The sequence below is a fragment of the Homo sapiens genome, chromosome 16 (assembly GCF_000001405.40).
Source record: "Homo sapiens chromosome 16, GRCh38.p14 Primary Assembly".
Lineage (NCBI taxonomy): Eukaryota > Metazoa > Chordata > Mammalia > Primates > Hominidae > Homo > Homo sapiens.
Window position 1 is genome coordinate 2,823,578 of NC_000016.10, and position 20,521 is coordinate 2,844,098.

General features: G+C 55.6%; 1 protein-coding gene, 1 long non-coding RNA gene and 1 pseudogene across 3 annotated transcripts, besides 2 other annotated features; 2 read left to right on the plus strand and 1 right to left on the minus strand.

Annotated features, from left to right (window-relative positions):
* The first annotated feature begins 6,725 nt into the window (after positions 1-6,725).
* On the plus strand, positions 6,726-8,699 carry ZG16B (zymogen granule protein 16B). The gene is made up of 4 exons (NM_145252.3): positions 6,726-6,751; positions 6,838-6,916; positions 7,117-7,219; positions 8,219-8,699. The coding sequence occupies exons 2-4, from the start codon at positions 6,865-6,867 to the stop codon at positions 8,580-8,582; spliced, it is 519 nt and encodes a 172-aa protein (NP_660295.3). The 5' UTR covers positions 6,726-6,751; positions 6,838-6,864; the 3' UTR covers positions 8,583-8,699.
* Positions 12,056-13,255: an enhancer, noted in NCBI's record as "P300/CBP strongly-dependent group 1 enhancer chr16:2885634-2886833 (GRCh37/hg19 assembly coordinates)". NCBI's record gives its function as "activates an origin of replication core promoter dependent on BRD2, BRD4, P300/CBP, MED14 and CDK7 cofactors, with strong dependence on P300/CBP, by STARR-seq in HCT116 cells {active_cell/tissue: HCT116}" and the evidence as "EXISTENCE:reporter gene assay evidence [ECO:0000049][PMID:35650434]".
* LOC124903628 (uncharacterized) lies at positions 12,341-15,999 on the plus strand. Its single transcript, XR_007064946.1, has 2 exons — positions 12,341-13,145; positions 14,799-15,999. It is a non-coding gene; the product is annotated as an uncharacterized LOC124903628 (long non-coding RNA).
* Positions 15,996-19,174, minus strand: PRSS30P (serine protease 30, pseudogene; annotated as a pseudogene). The gene is made up of 2 exons (NR_026864.2): positions 16,571-19,174; positions 15,996-16,354 (listed from the first exon to the last, which is right to left on the minus strand). The product of NR_026864.2 is annotated as a serine protease 30, pseudogene (transcript).
* Positions 18,781-19,470: an enhancer, noted in NCBI's record as "H3K4me1 hESC enhancer chr16:2892359-2893048 (GRCh37/hg19 assembly coordinates)". NCBI's record gives its function as "activates a minimal SCP1, AML or CMV promoter by ChIP-STARR-seq in naive H9 embryonic stem cells {active_cell/tissue: H9 hESC(naive)}" and the evidence as "EXISTENCE:reporter gene assay evidence [ECO:0000049][PMID:30033119]".

The following is a 20,521-nucleotide window of genomic DNA, read 5'->3' on the forward strand; positions in this document are numbered from 1 at the left end:
TGGCGATATCGCTAACACAACTTGTTCAAATTGTACTAGTGGTCCCTTTTATAGAGTTGGCCCTGTTTTCTGCTTTATTTCAACCCAGTCATGAAATGCTACTTAATGGCTACAATAGCTTTCAGCCAGTTTGCCTGTCATCCTTTTTTTTTTTTTTTTTTTTTTTTGAGACAGAGTCTCACTCTGTCACCCAGGCTGGAGTGCAATGGCACGATCTCAGCTCACTGCAACCTCCGCCTCCCTGGTTCAAGCAATTATCCTGCCTCAGCCTCCTGAGTAGCTGGGAGTGCCATCATGCCCAGCTACTTTTGTAATTTTTAGTAGAGACGGGGTTTCACTATGTTGGCCAGGCTGGTCTCAAACTCCTGACCTCTCGATCCACCCGCCTCGGCCTCCCAAAGTGCTAGGATTACAGGCGTGAACCACCATACCTGGCCTAGTTTTTTGTTTGCTTTTCGTTTGTTTGTTTGTTTGCTTTTGTTTTTTTAAGAGATAGGGTCTCGCTTTGGCACCTAGACTGGAGCCAGTGCAGTGACGTGATCCTAGCTCACTGCAACTTTGAAGTCCTGGGCTCCTTCCACCTCAGTCTTCTGAGTAGCTGGGTCTACAGGCCCACACTACCACCACCAGCTAAGTTGTTTAAAGTTATTTTTTGTAGAGACAAGTTCTCACTTTGTTGTCCAGGCTGGTCTCACGTGGGCAGTTAGCCCCAGACCTCCTGCCAGATGCCCCAGCCCAGCCAGGTGGTCCGGAATCCATAAATATTTTTTAAACCTGTGAATATACACTTCGAGATTTGTGATTTCGTTGTATGCAAATTGTGCTTCAAACTGGGAAAAGCCCAACCCCCCAAAAGTCTAGTTAACGATACGCATGTGGAAGTCCCTGAGGGTAAGTGAACTGAGGTCTGCACCTGACGTCTGAGGAAAGAAGATGAACCAATGAGTGGACGGAGGGTCCGGGACATGGACAAATGCAGTGACACCCACACAGGAGAATGCTGAGGACTGGAGAGGCAGGGATTGCGTGGGTGTCACTGTCACCTTTTACTCTCCAGTATGTCTGAATTTGGGTGGTAAATGTAGGGGAAATGTCTGTTGACTTTGTCCTTGGAGGACAGCTCCCCAGGGCCCATCCTCAGCTTCTGCCATCTTGGTCCATCTGGATCGTCCATCCTCGAGTCTGGAAAATTCCAGGCCCTCCACATGGCTTGCTGTGGGGGCTGCAGTCAGGAACTGGCCTCCCGGACCAGCGACGCCCCCCACAGGGCTACTCCCTCTGCAGCCTCCCAGGGAGGACTCAACCACTCTTGGGAAGGAGATGAGCAACTGACTCAAACCAGTCTGAGGCTGTTCCAGTGCCTGACACCATCGAGGGCCTCGTCCGGGCCGGTCCTCATGTATTAGTCCATTCTCACGCTGCTAATAAAGACATACCTGAGATTGGGTATTTTAGAAAGGAAAGAGGTTTAATTGACTCACAGTTCAGCGTGGCTGGGGAGGCCTCAGGAAACTTACTATTAGGGCAGAAAGGGAAGCAAACACATCCTTCTTCACATGGTGGCAGCAAGGAGAAGTGCCAAGCAAAAGGGGGGAAATCTCTGTATAAAACCATCAGATCTCGTGAGAATTCACTCTCTATCACGAGAACAGCAGCATAGGGGTAACTCACTGCCCACGACTCAATTACCTCCCACCAGGTCCCTCCCACAACATGTGGGAATGATGGGAACTACAATTTAAGATGAGATTTGGGCGGGGACACAGCCAAACCGTATCACCTTAATAAGACGGACTCGTTTCCCCCCAGCAGACGGCTGGCGGCCGCACACATTGTCTCGCTCCTCCCTCCCAACAGCCTCAGGTGCTGAGGTGTGCTAGAGGCTTATCTACCGATAGAGAAACCGAGGCTGGGAGTGGCTGCGGGAGGTGCAGTCAGGAACAGGGTCGGAGTGTGGCGCCGGGCCAGGCCGCTCAGGTCCCTTATCATGGAATCTACCGGGGCAGGTGCGAAGGCTGAGCCCAACATCCTTCCTCCATTCACAGGACAGGGCCCGAGCAAGTCAGCTGGAGCACAGCCACGGAGGTGGACAGGGTCGGCCCCCGTGGGGCACTTCCTGGCCCCCAGGAGAGGAGGTCAGGAGAGTGGGGCGAGCCCCAGGTTCTAAGCAGGTGCCTGCCTCAGGAGAGAGTCAGGGGGATGCTAACCAGGTGCTGTGGCTGTCTTTGTCTCCCCAAAGTACATATGTGGAAGCTCTAAGCATATGTGTCAAGAGGTGGGACCTTTGAAAGTAATTAGGTTTAGATGAGGTCATGAGCACAGGACCTCCAGTGATGGGCTAAGGCCCTTATAAGAAAAGGAGACCAGGGCTCTCCTCTTCGCCCCTCCCCAGATAAGAGGACACAGTGAGAAGATGGGGGTCTGCTCGCCAGGAAGGAGCCCTCACCAGCAGCCGCATCGCTCAGCACCTTGATCCTGGACTTCCAGCCTCCAGAGCTGTGAGAAACAAACCTCTATCATCTACCAGCCGCCCACGGCGTGGGATTTGTGTTACAGCAGCCTGAGCTGACCCAGACGCCAAGGAGCAACACACGCACCAGGGTAGGCTGGAGAAACCAGAACCCGGGAATCCCGCCTCCCTCAACTTGAAACTTGGGAATAGTGTATTCTCTTTTCAACACTTGCACTAGTAGAAGGTTAATTACATGAAAGATTAGGCAAAATGTATGGCTATGTGTCCTGGTTTTCCAATAAAAGTATTGAGTTTCTCTGGGGAAAGTGCAGATAAAATGCTTAGTGGAGGCTGGGCGCTGTGGCTTATGCCTGTAATCCCAGCACTTTGGGAGGCCGAGGCAGGCAGGCAGATCACAAGGTCAGGAGTTTGAGACCGGCCTGGCCAATATGATGAAACCCCGTCTCTACTAAAAATACAAAAATTAGCCAGGCGTGGTGGTGGGTGCCTGTAATCCCAGCTACTCGGGAGGCTGAGGCAGGGGAATCGCTTGAACCTGGGAGGTGGAGGTTGCAGTGAGCCGAGATCGAGCCACTTGCACTCCAGCCTGGGCAACAGAGACAGACCTCGTCTCTAAAAAAAAAAAAAATGCTTAGCACAGGCGTGGCACCAACGGGAACTCAGTGAGTGTGCCGCGGGCATGCGGGAGCTGTGCTTTCAGGAGCAGAAGGCTGCGGTGCCTTCCCTCAGGGCCTCTTTCCGCAGCAGCAGCCGCTCAAGGGCAAGTCCATGGGCACAGCCCAGCTTCGGCCTGGTGGGGTTGGGGCAGAGGCCCCTGGGCTTCTGATCCTGCCCCTCCCCCAGCCAGCAGGACCTTCCCTCTGGTTCCTGAGTCCCAGGGAGCCGCCAAGGCCCTGGGAGGAAACAGCTCCTGACTTTGCTCAGAGTCTCATTCAGGACAGTCCTACCCAGAGATCCAAGCCAGGGACTCATGTTCCTGCCTCCAGTGAGGCTGGGGGCTTCCCACAGAGGCTCAGCCTGGCCCCCAGGCCACAGGAAGGCCCCGCCAACTGAGTGGGTGCAGATGGAGACCCTCTTGTCTGCTGTGCCTCAGGCTGCAGAGCCACAGAGGGGTCTTCCCAAGCCCCACACCTGGAGGGCAGGGAGGACAGGGACTTGTGGCCCTAACCCGACTCCTGACACACAAGGGCCAGCCGGCCCGGGCCACCTCTGCAGGCAGGAGAAGGCCTCATTGTTCCCTTCTCCTGGCAGAATGAGGACTGGGGCGTGCCCCGGGCAGGAAATAAATGCTCAGTAAATCCCTGTTTTGGGAGCCCTGATCCCAAGGGACAAAGGGCCTGTGTTGAGTCTCCCTGAGCACGGGCTCGGGGCCAGCACTTGGGCCATGGCAGATGGAGGGTGGGAGGGGGGTGCCTCCCACCAGGTGGGCTTCTTCCCCAGGTCAGGCACGCAGGTGAGGAGGAGTGTCCTCGTGTGTGCATGCCCCCCGCGTGCAGGAGAGGCTGAGCGGGCGTGTGTGTCTGGGTGCATGTGTGTGCATCCATCTTCAAGTGCACGTGTGTGAACAAGTACGTGTGATCTCTGTGTTCGCGCCGTCTGAACATCCCCTCCAGTGTGCTCTCTCTTCCTCCAAGTCCCCCCAACCCCAGCTGGTGCTTCTGGAGTCCTGGCTCAGACGACTTTCCGTCTGGGCATCAAACCCTGCCAGCCTGGAGTTAGAAAGAAGGCCCCTGAACTGCCAGCAAAACATGGAAAGGCGCCCTCAGGCTGGGCTGGGGCAAGAACACAGCCCCTTTGTGCCACATCTGAGCTCCTGCCTCTGACAGCTGTGCTGGCCGAGGGCTTGGCCTTTTCCACCTCCACCTCCCTGAAGAAGGCTCCTCCTGAGAGGGGCTCCGCTGACCCTCCCCTGGCCTGGGCTCTGCTTCCCCTGAAATCAGAGGAGCGCTTGAGGGGGTGCAGAGAGGTGCAACTGGGGCCTCACCTTGAAACACTAGTCAGTGGGAACCCAGCCCTCACCAGCCCCTCCAGGGAGATGGTGCAGGTGCCAGAAGAAGGGCCAGGTGTCAAGGCTAATGTGCTGCTCTGCTCCTGCCCCGTCAGGGCTGGGGTGTCACGGGGAGCCCCCTTCCTGACTCTGCCATCCAGCACCACGGACAGGGCTTTGGTGGTTCTTTGGGAATAGGTATCAACCAGGGGTGGGCGGACGTTTTGTGTGAAGGGCCAGATGGTACAATTTTAGGTTCAGGGGCTGCAGGTCTCTGTCACAGCCATGTGAGCTTCTGTGCAAGCATGAAGACAGCCACAGGCCACATGCCAATGAGCGCACGGCGGCTGTGGGCCAGTGACGCTTGACTTAATGAACTGGAGCATGGGAATTTCAAAGAATTTTCATGGACCACAAGACATCGTTCTTTTGAATGTTTCCTAAGAATATTAACATGTAGGAAGCATTCTTTGCTCATGGGCGAGGCAGAAACAGGAGGTGGTTGGCTGGGCCATAGTTCGCCACCCCTGGCGCAGGCACCTGGTTCAAGTCGTGAAAGTCCTGCTCCTCCCGCAGCCCCTGCCCACCCTCATCCCGATGAGACCGGCGTCCCCGTTCCTGGTGAGCCAGCACTTCCAGAGCCAGTCTGTGCATGCACAAAGCCCTTCTTTGCACCCATCTTCCTGGGAAGCATGTGGGGTCCACACACACTGGTCTTCCAGCCTGTTTCCCTGGGGGATGGGTGTGCAGTGGGAGTGTCCCCCACCCTCTCCACCCAAGTTTTCCACAGCCAGGGATCCACCACCCGGGCTCTCGGCATCTCCAGGTGGATGCGCCCGTGATTTCTCAGCTTTTGCTCTTTCCAAAAATTAGCGTTGTACACTCTCCCCCAAGGCATAAAGTCTAAGGCTCAGGGCAACCAGCCCTGGGGGCCTCCCCTCCAGGGAGGCCCTCACAGCACCCTCAGGGGGAGGTTCTGTTGTTATCCGCAGAACAGAGGCCCAGAGAGGTGAAGCAAGAGCCCGCAGATCCCAGCCCCGCTACGTCAGGAAGCCCGGCTGGACCCACGTCTGGCTCCAGGGTCCTGTGTTGGTGATCACAGCCCTGTGGCTGTTCCCAGCGGTCACAGGCCCTGAGGAGCTTCAGTCCCTGGAACACACACAAGAGGTGTCCTGAGGACACGCATGGAACTGCGCTTGAGCTGCAATCTGTCCCCTAGTTCCCGCCTCGCTTGGGCATCTGACGGCCTTTATCTCTTCTCCCCTGATCCTTATCCGACACCCCAACTCTTCTGCAGACTCCAGTTCCTTCCCAGTGCCCTGGGTCCTTCAGGGTCCTTGGGATGAGACATCTCCGAACACGAGCTTTTCTCAGCTGGCGTCTGAGGGTGATGGCGTTCTGCCCACAGGCATCCGCCTGCACAGGCCTCCCTGACAAGAGGGGCTGAGGGGGAAAGGAGTGAGACAGAAAACCAGCAGGGCCCCGGGGACCGAGCCCTGGAGAAGCGCCAGTTCCCGCCCAGATGAGGGCCGACACCTCGGAAGGACCGGCCTGGGGGGTCGCCCTCCCCAGGCCCTCTGCCTCCCATCGTGGCATGGACTGCACCTTTGGTGTCCTTCCCTCCCATGGCCTCTGAGTCCCTGAACACTGGCTCATACCTGCTCCACCCAGATACAGCACAGAGGAGAGACCCGGGCAGCCTCTAAGGGCAGTGCCTTGAGGGCCAGTGCCTGGTGCACCTGCCGCACAGGGCACAGGACACAAAGGGCTGGGTGATCCATTCAGGCTCTCTCAGGGCCCGCGTCGAGCTCGGCCTGGGTCCCAGGAAGGCTGCCAGGCACCAGGTGCTGCCTGAGTCCGAAGGAGGCCCTGACTCCAGGTCGCCCACGGCAGGAGTGGGCCCCACGGAGCTTCTGTGGACCCTTGACCCGCCACCCTCAGGTGGAAGCCATCAGGCTGCGCTGGATAAGCCAGCCTCTCCCCACCTCTGCCATTCAAGTCGGTGCCAGTGCTGACTGGAGAGATCCCAGAGATAACTGTGAAATGCCTGTCACTGTTCTCAGCTTCGTTTATGTAGGCTGCAGAGCCAAGACAGCAAATACTGCACATCCGGGAGCCTCCCCAAGGCCGGCCCTGGGCCTTCCCCCAGGAAGAGCCCCACGGCCAGCTCCTTCCTGTTCCCCTGGCGGCCCCTCGCTTCTTCCTTCTGGATGGGGGCCCAGGGGGCCCAGGAGAGTATAAAGGCGATGTGGAGGGTGCCCGGCACAACCAGACGCCCAGTCACAGGCGAGGTAAGGTGCTTGGCTCCATGGGTGGGGCCCGGCAAGGTCACACTGGCCCTTGCTTTGGAGTCAGGAGGCCTCTCTTCTTCCCACAGAGCCCTGGGATGCACCGGCCAGAGGCCATGCTGCTGCTGCTCACGCTTGCCCTCCTGGGGGGCCCCACCTGGGCAGGGAGTAAGTCAGTGGGGTCTGCCCTCAATCTCCCCTGCCTCCCTCCAGGAGAGCCAGGGACTCACCCGGCCCTTGTCCCAGACTAACTCTGGTCACAGAACCATCCTGTCTGCCTGGAGGGGTGGGGTCCCCTGTTCTGGCAGAGGTCACCCCCATATCACCGCATGGGGATTTTCTTCCCTTTGGGTCTCTCTTTTCTTCAGAGATGTATGGCCCTGGAGGAGGCAAGTATTTCAGCACCACTGAAGACTACGACCATGAAATCACAGGGCTGCGGGTGTCTGTAGGTCTTCTCCTGGTGAAAAGGTGAGTAGGGCTATGGTCATGGGCCCAGCGCCATGTCCCCTCCCATCCCACAGTTTCAGGAACTCAGGGCAGGGGGTAAGCACCCGTGGCCACTTTTGCCACACATGCCTGGCTACTGTCGATGCTTCCTGGCTCCCGCTGATGCTTCCTGGCTGGAGCGGAGACGGTCAGACCGTCCTCCCTACCTTCTCCCTTCAACCCAAGCTCAACTCAACCAAAAATGGCCCCTCTGTCCCCATGCCTGATAGGAAAGTCAGGGGAAAGTCTGTCCGATTACTGTCAAAGAAGACAGGAGGTAAGGGTCAGAGTGGACCACTGACTGAATATGAGTCGCAGAAGTGTTAGAGGCAGAAGTCCAGGGCCATTTCCTTAATATCGAAGTGTCTCTGCTGGAGGTCTGGGATGGATTTTTGCCCTGCATTTAGAAGTTCTGGGGTCCTGGGAGAGGGGAGAGAAGCCCAATAGCAGAGGAGACAGAGTGTGGGCGGGGCGAGCCGGAGGGGTGCATCCTGGGAGAGCACCAGGGTGAGGGAGGGGTGAAGATGAGCCCCGTCAGGGAAGCGCTGGCGAGTGTGGGAAGTCACCTGCCCCTCGGCCTGTGAGCTGCTCTGCTTGGAGTGACTAAGGCTCGGGAGGTCCAGGCTCGGCCAGAGGCAGCTCATATGTGGGCCACAGTGACGGCAGCTGGTGCCTTCTGGGTCACGGAGACCTGGCGCTGCACGCAGCTCTCCTCACCAGGATCTCAGTGACTCCTCCCAAAAGTCACACCCACTTTGCAGACGGGGAAACTGAGTCCGGAGAGGCTGGGTAACGAGCTCAAGATCACAGGGCCCAAAAGTGGTAGAATCAGGGTTGGTGACCAGTGAGTCTGTGTCAGGGACCCAAAGTCTGATGGTGCTGGACTCTCTGCATCCCGGGAAGGAGGATGGGGGCGCTGAGGACCCGGGATGTGCTGGGCCATCCCAGATCTGGACGTCCAAAGCTTTGCCTCTCTCCCAGTGTCCAGGTGAAACTTGGAGACTCCTGGGACGTGAAACTGGGAGCCTTAGGTGGGAATACCCAGGAAGTCACCCTGCAGCCAGGCGAATACATCACAAAAGTCTTTGTCGCCTTCCAAGCTTTCCTCCGGGGTATGGTCATGTACACCAGCAAGGACCGCTATTTCTATTTTGGGAAGCTTGATGGCCAGATCTCCTCTGCCTACCCCAGCCAAGAGGGGCAGGTGCTGGTGGGCATCTATGGCCAGTATCAACTCCTTGGCATCAAGAGCATTGGCTTTGAATGGAATTATCCACTAGAGGAGCCGACCACTGAGCCACCAGTTAATCTCACATACTCAGCAAACTCACCCGTGGGTCGCTAGGGTGGGGTATGGGGCCATCCGAGCTGAGGCCATCTGGGTGGTGGTGGCTGATGGTACTGGAGTAACTGAGTCGGGACGCTGAATCTGAATCCACCAATAAATAAAGGTTCTGCAGAATCAGTGCATCCAGGATTGGTCCTTGGATCTGGGGTACAACCAAAGCCTTCCCTGCTCCTTGGAGACAAAGTCCCCAGTGCTGCAGCCCAGTGAACTGAGATGAGGGGTAGGGCAAAGGTGACTCTGCCGAGGACAGAAAGAGAGCAGCACCACCCCCTCAGAGGTGCTGTGGATCTCTGTGCCAGTCCCACAATCTTTGAAGAGTCAGGCTTCAAGGCCGCCACTCCCCACTGTCCCTCACCCCAGGCCCACCCAGCGGGCCTCTGCTGGCCACTCAGTCCCGGGATTCTCTGAGTGCTCAAGGGGCCTCAGGGAAGCCACTCACTCATCCATTCACTCAGCAAACATTTGCCAAGGCCGTGTCCTCACCAGGCTCGCCTGGCACTGGGGGTATAAAGAAGAGGCCAGGTTTCAGCTGAGTGCGTATACACTGTGGTGGGGGCTGGTGCAGAGGCAGATAGTGGCAGTTCACTTTGCCATCTGCATGGATGGGGACACATGCAGGTCATTGTGCGTAGGCACCTGCCCAGAGGTGAGGTGAGAGGGATGTGCTTCAGGGAAGTCTTCCTAGAGGAGGCAATGTCTGAGCTAAGTCTTAAAGGATGAAGGACAATTGGCCAAGTGGAGACAAAGGGAGGAGGGGATTACAGGTTGAGGGCTCAACATGAGCAAAGACAGGAGATGCAGATGGCTGGGGTAATTTGTCACAGTAGCAACAGGAAATCAGTACAAGCCCTGGACCTGGCCCATTCTTCATGTCCCCTTCCCAAGCCTCCAAGCCCACATGGGCACTTGCCAAGATCAGAGCTCCAGGGGCCTCCAGGGACGGGGTTTTCAGTCCTTTGGGACCATGATCCACAGAGAGAAATTGATCCTACTTGAGACACAGGAAGCAACACATGTAATGCAACAGCCAAGCACCCAACGATCATCTAATGCAACAGCCAAACACCCAGCGATCATCTAATGCAACAGCCAAACACCCAGTGATCATCTAATGCAACAGCCAAACACCCAGCGATCATCTAATGCAACAGCCAAACACCCAGCGATCATCTAATGCAACAGCCAAACACCCAGTGATCATCTAATGCAACAGCCAAACACCCAGTGATCATCTAATGCAACAGCCAAACAGACAAGTGATCATCTAATGCAACAGCCAAACAGACAAGTGATCATCTAATGCAACAGCCAAACACCCAGTGATCATCTAATGCAACAGCCAAACAGACAAGTGATCATCTAATGCAACAGCCAAACAGACAAGTGATCATCTAATGCAACAGCCAAACACCCAGTGATCATCTAATGCAACAGCCAAACACCCAGTGATCATCTAATGCAACAGCCAAACAGACAAGTGATTATCTAAGGCAACAGCCAAACACCCAGCGATCATCTAATGCAACAGCCAAACACCCAGCGATCATCTAATGCAACAGCCAAACACCCAGCGATCATCTAATGCAACAGCCAAACACCCAGCGATCATCTAATGCAACAGCCAAACACCCAGCGATCATCTAATGCAACAGCCAAACACCCAGCGATCATCTAATGCAACAGCCAAACGCCCAGTGATCATCTAATGCAACAGCCAGTCAGTGATCACGGGAAGGGCCAGGTCCTATTTCAGGGGCTCCACCCAAAGTCCCCACCCACAACAATTGAAGGACAGGACTTCAATTATCCTCATTTGCAAAATGAGGAAACAGAGGAACTGAGAGCAAAGTGACTTGTCCCACGCAGCCGTTAGAGGTAGAGTTGGAGGTCCACCTTGAGGTGACCAAGCTGCAAAGTCTGGCCACTGAACACCAGACCTAGGCAAAGATTTCCCAACCCAGTTTCATCTTTCTGCATGAAATACACACAGACGTTTTTTCTCTTCTCTACTTTTATTTTTATTTAATTTTAAATGCTGGTTGAGAGCCACTTCTTAACCTGGGGTCTGTGGACAAAAATCAGAAATCAAAATTCAGAGAATCCATGAACTGGGATGGGGGGGGGGAAATTACCTCTTTTTTTTTTATTGCCCTTGACTGAAAATTTCATGTTTCCTTCGGGTATGAATGTGACCTCACATGCAACACCCATGAAATGACCACATCAAATACTGTTGTCACAGACACCTTGAAATTTACAGCCGTCACCACTTCAAAATTATGGTGATCAGACTTGCCATTCAACGTGTTGATAATCCAAGCCCAGGCACAGAACACATTTAAGAAAACATTTTGGCCCGGGCACAGTGGCTCACGCCTGTAATCCCAGTACTTTGGGAGGCCAAGCCGGTCAGTTCATGAGGTCAGTAGTTCCAGGCCCAGCCTGGCCACCATGGTGAAACCCAGTCTCTACTAAAAATCCAAAAATTATCCGGGCATGGTGGCGTGCGCCTATAATCCCAGATACTCAGGAGTCTGAGGCAGCAGAATCGCTTGAACATGAGACGTGGAGGGTTCCAGTGAGCCAAGATTGCACTACTGCTCTCCAGCCTGGGTGACAGAGTAAGACTCTGTCTAAAGAGAGAAAGAAAGAAAAGAAAAGAAAATAGAAAAGAGCTGAGTCCCAAGCACTGCTGGTGGAATCCAGTTTCTGCTGAATGTGTTTTGAGTATGTGTGCCAATATTACTAGAGTGCTAGTAAGTCTCCTGTGATTTGGATCGTCTGTGTTCTGGGATGAGTGGATGGATGGATGGATGGATGGATGGATGGATGGGTGGGTGGGTGGGTGGGTGGATGAATGGATGGATGGATGGGTTGATGGGTGGGTGGATGGATGGGTGGATGAATGGATGGGTGAGTCAGTAAATGGATGGATAGGTCGGTAGATGGGTAGGTGGGTGGGTGAATGGGTGGAATAATGGATGGATAGGTGGATGGCTGGATGGATGGGTGGGTGAATGGGTAGGTGGGTAGGTGGGTGGGTGAGTGGGTAGATGCATGAATGGATGGATGAATTTATGAGTCAGTAGATGGGTGGGCGGGTGGATGGATGTACAAATGGGTGAGTGGATGGATGGATAAGTGGGTGGGTGGGTGAGGGGATAGATGGACAGAAAACACACTAGCGGGACCAGGCACAGTGGCTTACACCTGTAATCCCAGCACTTTGGGAGGTCGAGACGGATGATCACTTGAGCCCAGGAGTTCAAGACCAGCCAAAGCAACACAGCGAGACCCTGCCTCTACAATCTACAAAAATACATAACCAGGCGTGGTGGCGTGGGCCTGTAGTCCCAGCTACTTGGGAGGTTAAAACAGGAGAATCACTTGAGCCCAGGAGGTAGAGACTGCAGTGAGCTGAGGTCGCGCCATTGCACTCCAGCCTAAGAAACAGGAGTGAAACCTTGTCTCAGAAAAAGAAAAAAGAAAAAGAAAGAAAGGAAAAGAAAAAAAAGAAAAGGAAAGGAAAGAAAAGACACTAGCATTCATCACGATCCAATTTTGGACCAGGCGCAATGGTGAGTGCTTACACAAGGACTGCCTCATTTAATCATCACAAACACCCTTGCGGTGGGTGTTAATCTCACATTTTTAAAGACAAGGAAGCCCAGGCTGAGCGAGTGAGTCATGGAATTCCAACCGCAATCCCACAGTCCTCCTGCCACTTCCTGCTCAGGTGTTGGCCCAGTCCCACCATTGTCGGGGGAGGTTCTTTCCTGAGAGTCCCTGCGTCCCAAGTGCCCAAATACTTCAGCCACCACAACATGTGATTTTCTTGTCCTGGAATTCTGAGGTCCACATGCATACAGTGCCGCTGGCAGAGCCTGCTGTAATCCTGAGAATTCCTTTTCATCGACTCACTGCAAGTTCAGAGACAAGGCATCGACTCACTACAAGTTCAGAGACAAGGTGCGTGCCAGACCTGCACCCTGGGCTCCAGGGTGAGGAAGGAACCGCTCGTCCTACGCTGGGTCCCTGCCTCTGCTCCTGCTTGTCACCCTTGGCCAAACGTTCCCCAATCCCGAGCGGCTCTGGCCTTTGGACAGAAGTCAGCCTGTCAGCCTTCTGGAACACCTGCGTCCATTGTGGCCACTTCCTCATCCCCAGACCGGCTCAGTCTTGCAGGGGCGTTTGAATTGTTTCCTCCTACACAACACTGAACTGTGCAGCTCCCGCCCCGACCTGTCTCTAAACAGTGTCACTAGTCCCAAGGCCTCCTGCAGGCCACTGGGCCCACAGACAGGCCAACCAGCAAACTGGGGGTCCCACTGAGAGACACCTGGTGCTGGTTGCCGTGCACTTAGAGTGGGCCAGGCAGCTGGAACCTAAGAGGAGCTGCTGGAGGAAGTGGAGCACCTTGAATGTCACCTGGACTCACGTCTGCCCCTACCGCCCCCTCGGACCCGCACCCACCCCCCGGCCCAGGCACCAGGTGAACCCTCTGTGTCTTTCCAACAAGCCCCAGGCAGGAGGGGCTTCACAAGCAGAAGCACCAGTCTTGTAAGTCCTCTACAAACAGCACCTGTGTGAGGGGCCAGAGAAAGAGAAGACAAAGAGGGCTGTGTGCGCACCACAGTCCAGGTCAGGCGCGGAAAATCCTTCTGTAGCTTTTGCTGTTGGCTGAGGCCCCTTCCTTCTAACTCACCGTTGGCAGAAGTCGGATGCCTCGGAGAGAAAAGAGGCTCAGCAGGCTTCCCCTGCCCGTGGGGGTCAAGGAGCGTTCGTGCTGTCCACTGCCAGGAAATGTGGGGGGTTCTGAGGACCACACAGACACACACACACACAAATACACACCCATTCAAACATACACACAAAATACACATGCAGACACACACGCACACAAATACACACCCATATACACATACACACAAATACACACCCACCCAGAGACACACACAAATACACACCCATACACACATACACAGACAAGCACATACACAAATACCTACACACACACAAAAATACCCACCCACACAGAGACACACAAATACACACCCACTGACACACACACACAAATACACACCCATCCACACAGAGACACACACACAAATACCCATTCACATACACGCAAATACACACCCACCCCCACACAAATACACACCCATCCACAGAGACACGCACACACACATACCCATACATACATACACACACAAATACACACCCACCTCCCCACACACCCAGACACACACACACACCCACACACCCATTCACATGCACGCAAATATACACCCAGCCCCCCATGCAAATACCCACACAGAGACACAGACACACAGAAATACACACCCACCCAGAGACACACTCACAAACACACACCACAGAAACACACACACACATACATACATGCAAATACACACCCATACACAGACACACAAATACCCACAGACACACACACCCACACACACAGACACATACACATACACACACCTACCCCACAGAGACACATACAGAGACGCAGACACATACACAAATACACAAACACGTATGTACACACACACACACATGCACATAAAAGTACACCCACACCCATCCACACACAGGCACACACAAACACACATAAATACACACCCACACACAGACACATCCACACACAGACAGGCACACAGCCTGGACAGGGGCCTCCTGGATGGGAGTGGATCCTGGCACAGGGCTGATGGCACAGCAGCCCTGGTCAAGGTCATCTGGGGAAGAGACTGGGGGGGGTCCTTGGGCACGGTGGCTCACGCCTGTCATCCCAGCACTTTGGGAGGCTGGGGCAGGCGGATCACTTGAGGTCAGAAGTTCAAGACCAGCCTGGGCAACATGGTGAAACCCTGTCTCTACTAAAAATACAAAAATTAGCCGAGCATGGTGGTGTGCACATGTACTCCCAGGTAGGCTGAGGTGGGAGGATCGCTTAAGCCCAGGAGGTCGAGGCTGCAATGAGCTGAGATTGAGCCACTGCACTCCAGCCTGGGCAATAGAGCAAGACCCTGTCACAAAAGAAAAAAGGAGAGAGAAACTGAAGGGGCTGATATGCAAGGAGGGAGGCTGAGTGCTTCTGAGACATCCTTGGTGCTTCAGGCCTATGTGACGGAGGGCTGCCAACTCTAACATTAAAGCAGAAATCCAGAAGTGAGGATTTTGTTTTAATCCTTCACTTTCCCTCCTCACTAGATTTCTGGAAGGAGTTATTTATGAGTGAAGAGCTGGAGAATCCATTCGCAAACTGATGCATGAAAGTGATTAGCAAGAGAAAGTTGTGAGACAAAACAGAGAAGCTGAGAGGCCAGAAACCTCTACCCAGGACGCTGAGCTCCTGGCGGATCCGATGAGTCCCTCCAGGACACCGTCCACCCTGGGATGAAGGCAGAGGAGTTGGAAGGAGGCGAGGCCGTCACGGGACAACAGGACCCTATGAAGGTGGGCCCACAGCAAAAGGAGAGATGATTCTAGAGCATCCAGTCTTCTAGGGCAGCAAAACAACCTAAATTTTCTAAGAGGCCACCCAGCTGAGGGTGCCCCCGGGGAGGGCTGAGGCGTCAGGGTGACGGCTCCACTGCCCACTCACCTGCGACCTCAAAGCCCCTCTCCTCCTTGGGGTGCTCCTGACAGCCACCTCCAGGGCAGGCGAGTGGCGCTGGGACAAAGGCTGGCCCGACTGCGCCCCACCCAAGCAGACGGTCCTTCCCCCAGACCTGGCGCCAAACTGGAGTGAAAGCCCGACCACCGTGTCTCACAGGGAAACTGACACCAGATGCGAACTTCCAAATGGATCCCTCCCTGCAAGTGTGGAGCTGGCGCTACCAGGCACTGCTCTGGCCATGCGTCTAAGACACAGGCAGAGGGCGCTGCCCACCACGCTGGCGACGGCCTCAAAGCCCCTGTTCATGCCTGGGACAGCGCCCAAGGACCTTGCTCATGCCTGGGACAGGCCCCAGGGCCCCCACTGGCTGCAGTCAGCAGCGGGCAGGGTGGTGGGGGAAGGTATGGACACTCCGTGGGCCGGAGCTGGGAGAACAAGGCCTATTATTGGACACCTGGTGGCCATGGCAACCACACAAGGATGCCTGAGACTGAAAATCTGTGGGCTTCAAGGAGCTCCAGCTCTTGCACTGGCTGAGTCACAGTGACTATATAACTCTTACTCCCACTTTTGGGACACTTTTTGAGAGGGACAGGGATCCTATCTAACTACACGGGACAGACATCGCCCAAGACCGTCCTGAGCAAGCCTGGACGCTGTGACCCTAACGATGAAGGTGTCCCGCAGACAATGTCCGGGGCAGGCACCATGCTCTCCCAACCTACCACAGCCAGATGTTTTTGTAAAGAACAATAAAAATGAATTACTAGAAAAGCAAAGACATAAAATACACATAAAAAACCTACAGTTTTTATTATTAGATTCCATCAATCCTACCAGAAAGGGGATCCCGGACTCCATGGCTCATGGTTCACAGGGACCCAAGCAAGCATACGGTCAACAGCTCAAGCAGCAGCACTGGGTGGGATCTGGAGGTGCCTGAGTGGGATCCTGGGGCACCTGGGCGGGCCCCAGACATGCCTGAGTGAGATTCAGCCAGGGTTCTCTGAATCCAGTCTGTGTAGCTTAGCACCTGGGTGTAGACACCAGGCCGGAAAGGCCGGGCACAGCCGAATCCCCAGCTCACAATGCCGGCCTGGATCCACGTATCATTGATGGGGCAGACCAGCGGCCCCCCGGAGTCACCCTGGGGGAGAGAGAGGGAGGGCCCCATGAGGTCTGCATTGAGGGAGACACCTGGGCCCCAAGTGCCTTCGAGAATCTGCTGCTGAGGCCAAGGAGCTAGGCAAGGACTCTGGTCCCTCTGGAGACCCTGAGGTGTGGGACATGGGGAGAAAGTCCAGGACAGGGTGAGCCTAAAGGGCCCACACAACTGGATGGGGTGACCAGGAGCTGCAGTCACCTGGCAGGAGTCTTTCTTGCCCTGGACAGAGCCAGCACAGAGCATGTCGTCCTGGATGAGGCGCTGGCCAGCCAGGCTGGGCTCTCCTAGGTGGTACATCAGCTCACACATGTTCGAGTCCAGGAGGGGCACAGCCACCTCCTGAAGGACACTCGCCAGGGCTGGATGTGATGTGGGGGCCAGCCTGAGCCCACCTCAAGCCTCGTCCCCATCAGGTGAGCCTCTGCCCTCTCACCTGTGATGGTGGCAGCCTGCACCTCCTACCTCTTCTCTGCCCACCCACCCTGCTCTTCTCAACTCCCAAACCAGGAGGCAGTGGGGTCAGGGAGCAGGGCTCAAGCCCAGATCCTCTCCCATGACCCTGGCTAATCTCATGACCTCTTAGCCTTGGCTTATTCATCCCAACACGGGCACAATCCTGGACACTGGCTCAAGATCCCCAAAATCCAATATGGTGGTCACCTTGGCCAAGGGGAGTCCCACAGTCTGGACAGCATGGGTCCTGGCCCCAAGTGTTCCCAGCTTCAGGGTGGGGTGGGAGGGGAGAGGAGATAAACACGCAGACCAACGTCTGTGGAGACCACTCAGGCTGGCTCTGCGTGGTCCCTGGGCTTGTCCTCCCTGACTAGGAGTAGGGGCTGGTGAGTGCATATTCCCCTTCCCCCTCTCCTGAGTGGACCCCCAGCCCGTTTACCCAGCACACGGTCCCAATGGCGAGGGGGGTCTGGGGTCCTGGGAGGCAGATGGGGCTGAACTGGGAGGCCTGCAAGGGGGAGTCCAGCTCCATCAGGGCAATGTCCCCGCTGGTGGTGGTCCCATGGTATGAGGAGTGGACCAGGAGCCTCCTCACAGCCACCAAGGCCGAGTGGGGCTCTGAAAGTGAGGGTGTCAGCCCTCCGACTTTAACATGGTAGAGCCCGGGATCCTCAGACCTGGGAGGGGAATGGAAACACGGCCCACTGCAGGCAGCCGCCAAGGGGAGGGGTGAGGAGCACCCCCACCCAGCGCCACTCACCTCAGGAAGCAGTGGGCGGCTGTGAGCACCCAGCGTGGGTGGATGAGGGAGCCCCCACATACATGCCCCACTGAGGTCAACCACAGGCCAACCTGCCACGGCCAGCGTCCTTCCTGGGTGTCTTGGCCTCCCACAATCCTCCCGGCCTCCTTGGAGTGGCCGCATTCTGCAGAGGGATGGGCGGGTGGGAGACCTCAGCTTTATTCCCTCTCAGAAAGCCCATCCCTCCCGGTCTGACTCTTTACCCTAACATCCCTCTGCCCTTCTGACATCCCTTCTGACATTCCTCTGCCCTTGATGTCCAGGGATGAGGCTCCCAGGGCCAAGGGCCTCTGCATGTCCCCTGGGGCCAGTCCTCCCTGGCCAGGAGTAGGGGCTGTTTGAGTGCAGGGATGAGATGTCTACGGTACCTGAAGGCAGCACATCCCAATGGGCCCCTGGAAAGCAAGAGAGCAAAGGGGGGCACACAGGCTGGCAGGGGATGGGAGGGAGGAGAAGACAGAGGCGCATCCCTTACCTGGCAGCAGCCACAGCAGCAGAAGCAGGATGGGGCCTGCCCGAAGCCCCATGGCTCCTCTTCCCTACAGACACTGCACTGGGGTCAGAGTCCTTGGACGGCACCAGAGGTTGGGGGGGCGGGGGTGGCAGGTCATTAACCAGTGGCAATCACGCTGGAGCCCTCTGTGCCTGGCAGAACCCGCCCTCCTCAGATGCCGCTTGGGCTCCTGTCCCGCATGTTCCAGGGAGGTGGTTTAGAGGAGGCTGGGGATGCCAGGGCCCACCTCAGGCCAGTCCCTCCAAGGAGCCAGAGGTCAGAAGACCGGTCAGTCCACCCTACTGGGCTGCGATGTGGAAGCCCCACCCATCCTTCCGGCAGGCAGGAGATCCCCACTGCTTCACCCACTAGAAGCTCTGCTCAAGGCAGAGGTGGGGACCAACCCTCTTCACCCTGTCCCCAACCAGGAAGTGTGATGTCTCCACACAGGCCAGCCGGGCTGCCCCAGCCCACCTCCCGCCTCCCTTCCCACCAGAAGGACCTGTAGCTCCTGCAGAGCCCTCCTGGGGCACACCGTATCTAAGGGGCTGGAACATAGGGGAGCCCTATTCGTTGCTATGGGAACAAAGACAGCCAGGGTTCGGCCCCCCCAGACAGGAAGGGTCGACTCAGGAGACACGTTTTCCAGGTGCTACTTCCTCCTGCTGCTGCCACTGCCCAAAACCTTTGGCCCCCATCCCAGGGCCAGGGGCAGAGGCGGAGCCAGTCCCGAGGCAGCTGAGGACCCCACCATGCGCTTGGTGTTGTGCACGGCCTCCAGCCCGGACTGAAGTTGGCCTGACCCGAGAAGCCCAGGATCGCTGAGGAAGCTCCCCACTGTTGTCGCCTCTCAGCCCCACGCCCACTCATCCACAGGCAGCCGGGATGCTCACGCAGCCACGTCACGGACCTCATCTCGGCCTCGCTACGACTCTGCCAACAGGGGGCGCTGCAGGAGGCTACGCGGTCGCAGGGACTCCTTTCTGTCCGTTTCCGGCAAACTTCCCGCGCTCTTCCGGAGGTTGAGGGTGGTTCGCTAAACTTCCGGTGGGCTCCAAGAGAGTTTCCGGCGGACTTCCTGTGCGATCGGGCGGGGTTCCGGTCAGTATGCGAGTCCTGTGAGCATCATCTCAGCCTGGCCTCAGGCCCTGGAGGGTCTGGAAACTGAGTGGTCCCTCTCAGGAGGCAACCAAAAGACGTTCTCACTGGCTGACGATGGGACACTTGGAGCATCACTGTGGGCAATAACTTGGAGTGATTTAAATACGTGAGATAAGGCCGGGTGCGGTGGCTCACGCCTGTGATCCCAGCACTGTGAGAGGCCGATGCGGGCAGATCACCTGAGGTCAGGAGTTCGACACCAGCCTGGCCAACATGGCAAAACCCCATCTATACTAAAAATACAAAAATTAGCTGGGCGTGGTGGTGGCACCTATGATCCCAGCTACTCAGGAGGCTGAGGCAGGAGAATCGCGTTAACCCAGAAGCAGAGGCTGCAGTGAGCCGAGATCGCGTCACTACACTCCAGCCTGGGCGACAGAACGAGACTCCATCTCAAAAAAAAAAAAAGAAAAGAAGAAATCCATGAGTTCATATTACAAAAAAAACTTTATCATTTTTGGAGTATGCTAAGGAAATAGTTCATTATTTTGAGGATAATTAAATAGATGCCAAAAACATAAACATTTTTAAAAATAGAATGAAAGAGGCAACAAAAATAAATAGATGATGAAAAGTTTCTCTTTATGGAGGAATTTCTGCTAATAAATGGAACAGGAATATCACCATGTTGCAATCTAATGGACTAATTGGTCTAGGGAATAATCCTCAACAGCTAGCTCATCACTACGAGACAGTCAACTGGTGTGTACCCCCTGATAGACTTTTCTGGAAAAATCAGAGGCCTGCAAGGCGGAGTTCAGCTGCATCAGGGCAACATCCTCGCTGGTAGTGGTCCCATGGTATGAGGGGTGGACCAGTAGCTTCCTCGCAACCACCAAGGCCGGAGTGTCAGCCCTCCGACTTTAACATGGTAGAGCCTGGGATCCACAGACTTGGGAGGGGAATGGAGACGCAGTCTGCTGCAGTCAGCCGCCCAGGTGAGGCAAGGAGTGCCTGAATTTGCCCAAGACTGCAGATCTGGGGTGTGGGACATAGGGACAGAGCCCAGAACAGGCAGAGCCTGAAGAGTCCACAAATCTGGACTGGGAGTCCAGAGGGAAACACAGAAACAGAGGAATATGTTAGAGACAGCATGGGGGCACAACCAGCAAATCCAGATGGTGAGATTAAAGGACAAATGATCAGTTATTGGACAGTGACAAAGAAAAAAAAGAGATGGAGGGGGCATCTCGAGAATAAAAGAAACTTAAGACGTATAGCAATCAACTGCAGTGAATAA

Coding starts and splice junctions, on each gene's coding strand:
- ZG16B (NM_145252.3), top strand. CDS start 6,865: ATGCTGCTGCTGCTCACGCTTGCCCTCCTGGGGGGCCCCACCTGGGCA. Junction 6,917..7,116: donor GGGCCCCACCTGGGCAGGGA/GTAAGTCAGTGG, acceptor TCTTTTCTTCAG/AGATGTATGGCCCTGGAGGA. Junction 7,220..8,218: donor GGTCTTCTCCTGGTGAAAAG/GTGAGTAGGGCT, acceptor CCTCTCTCCCAG/TGTCCAGGTGAAACTTGGAG.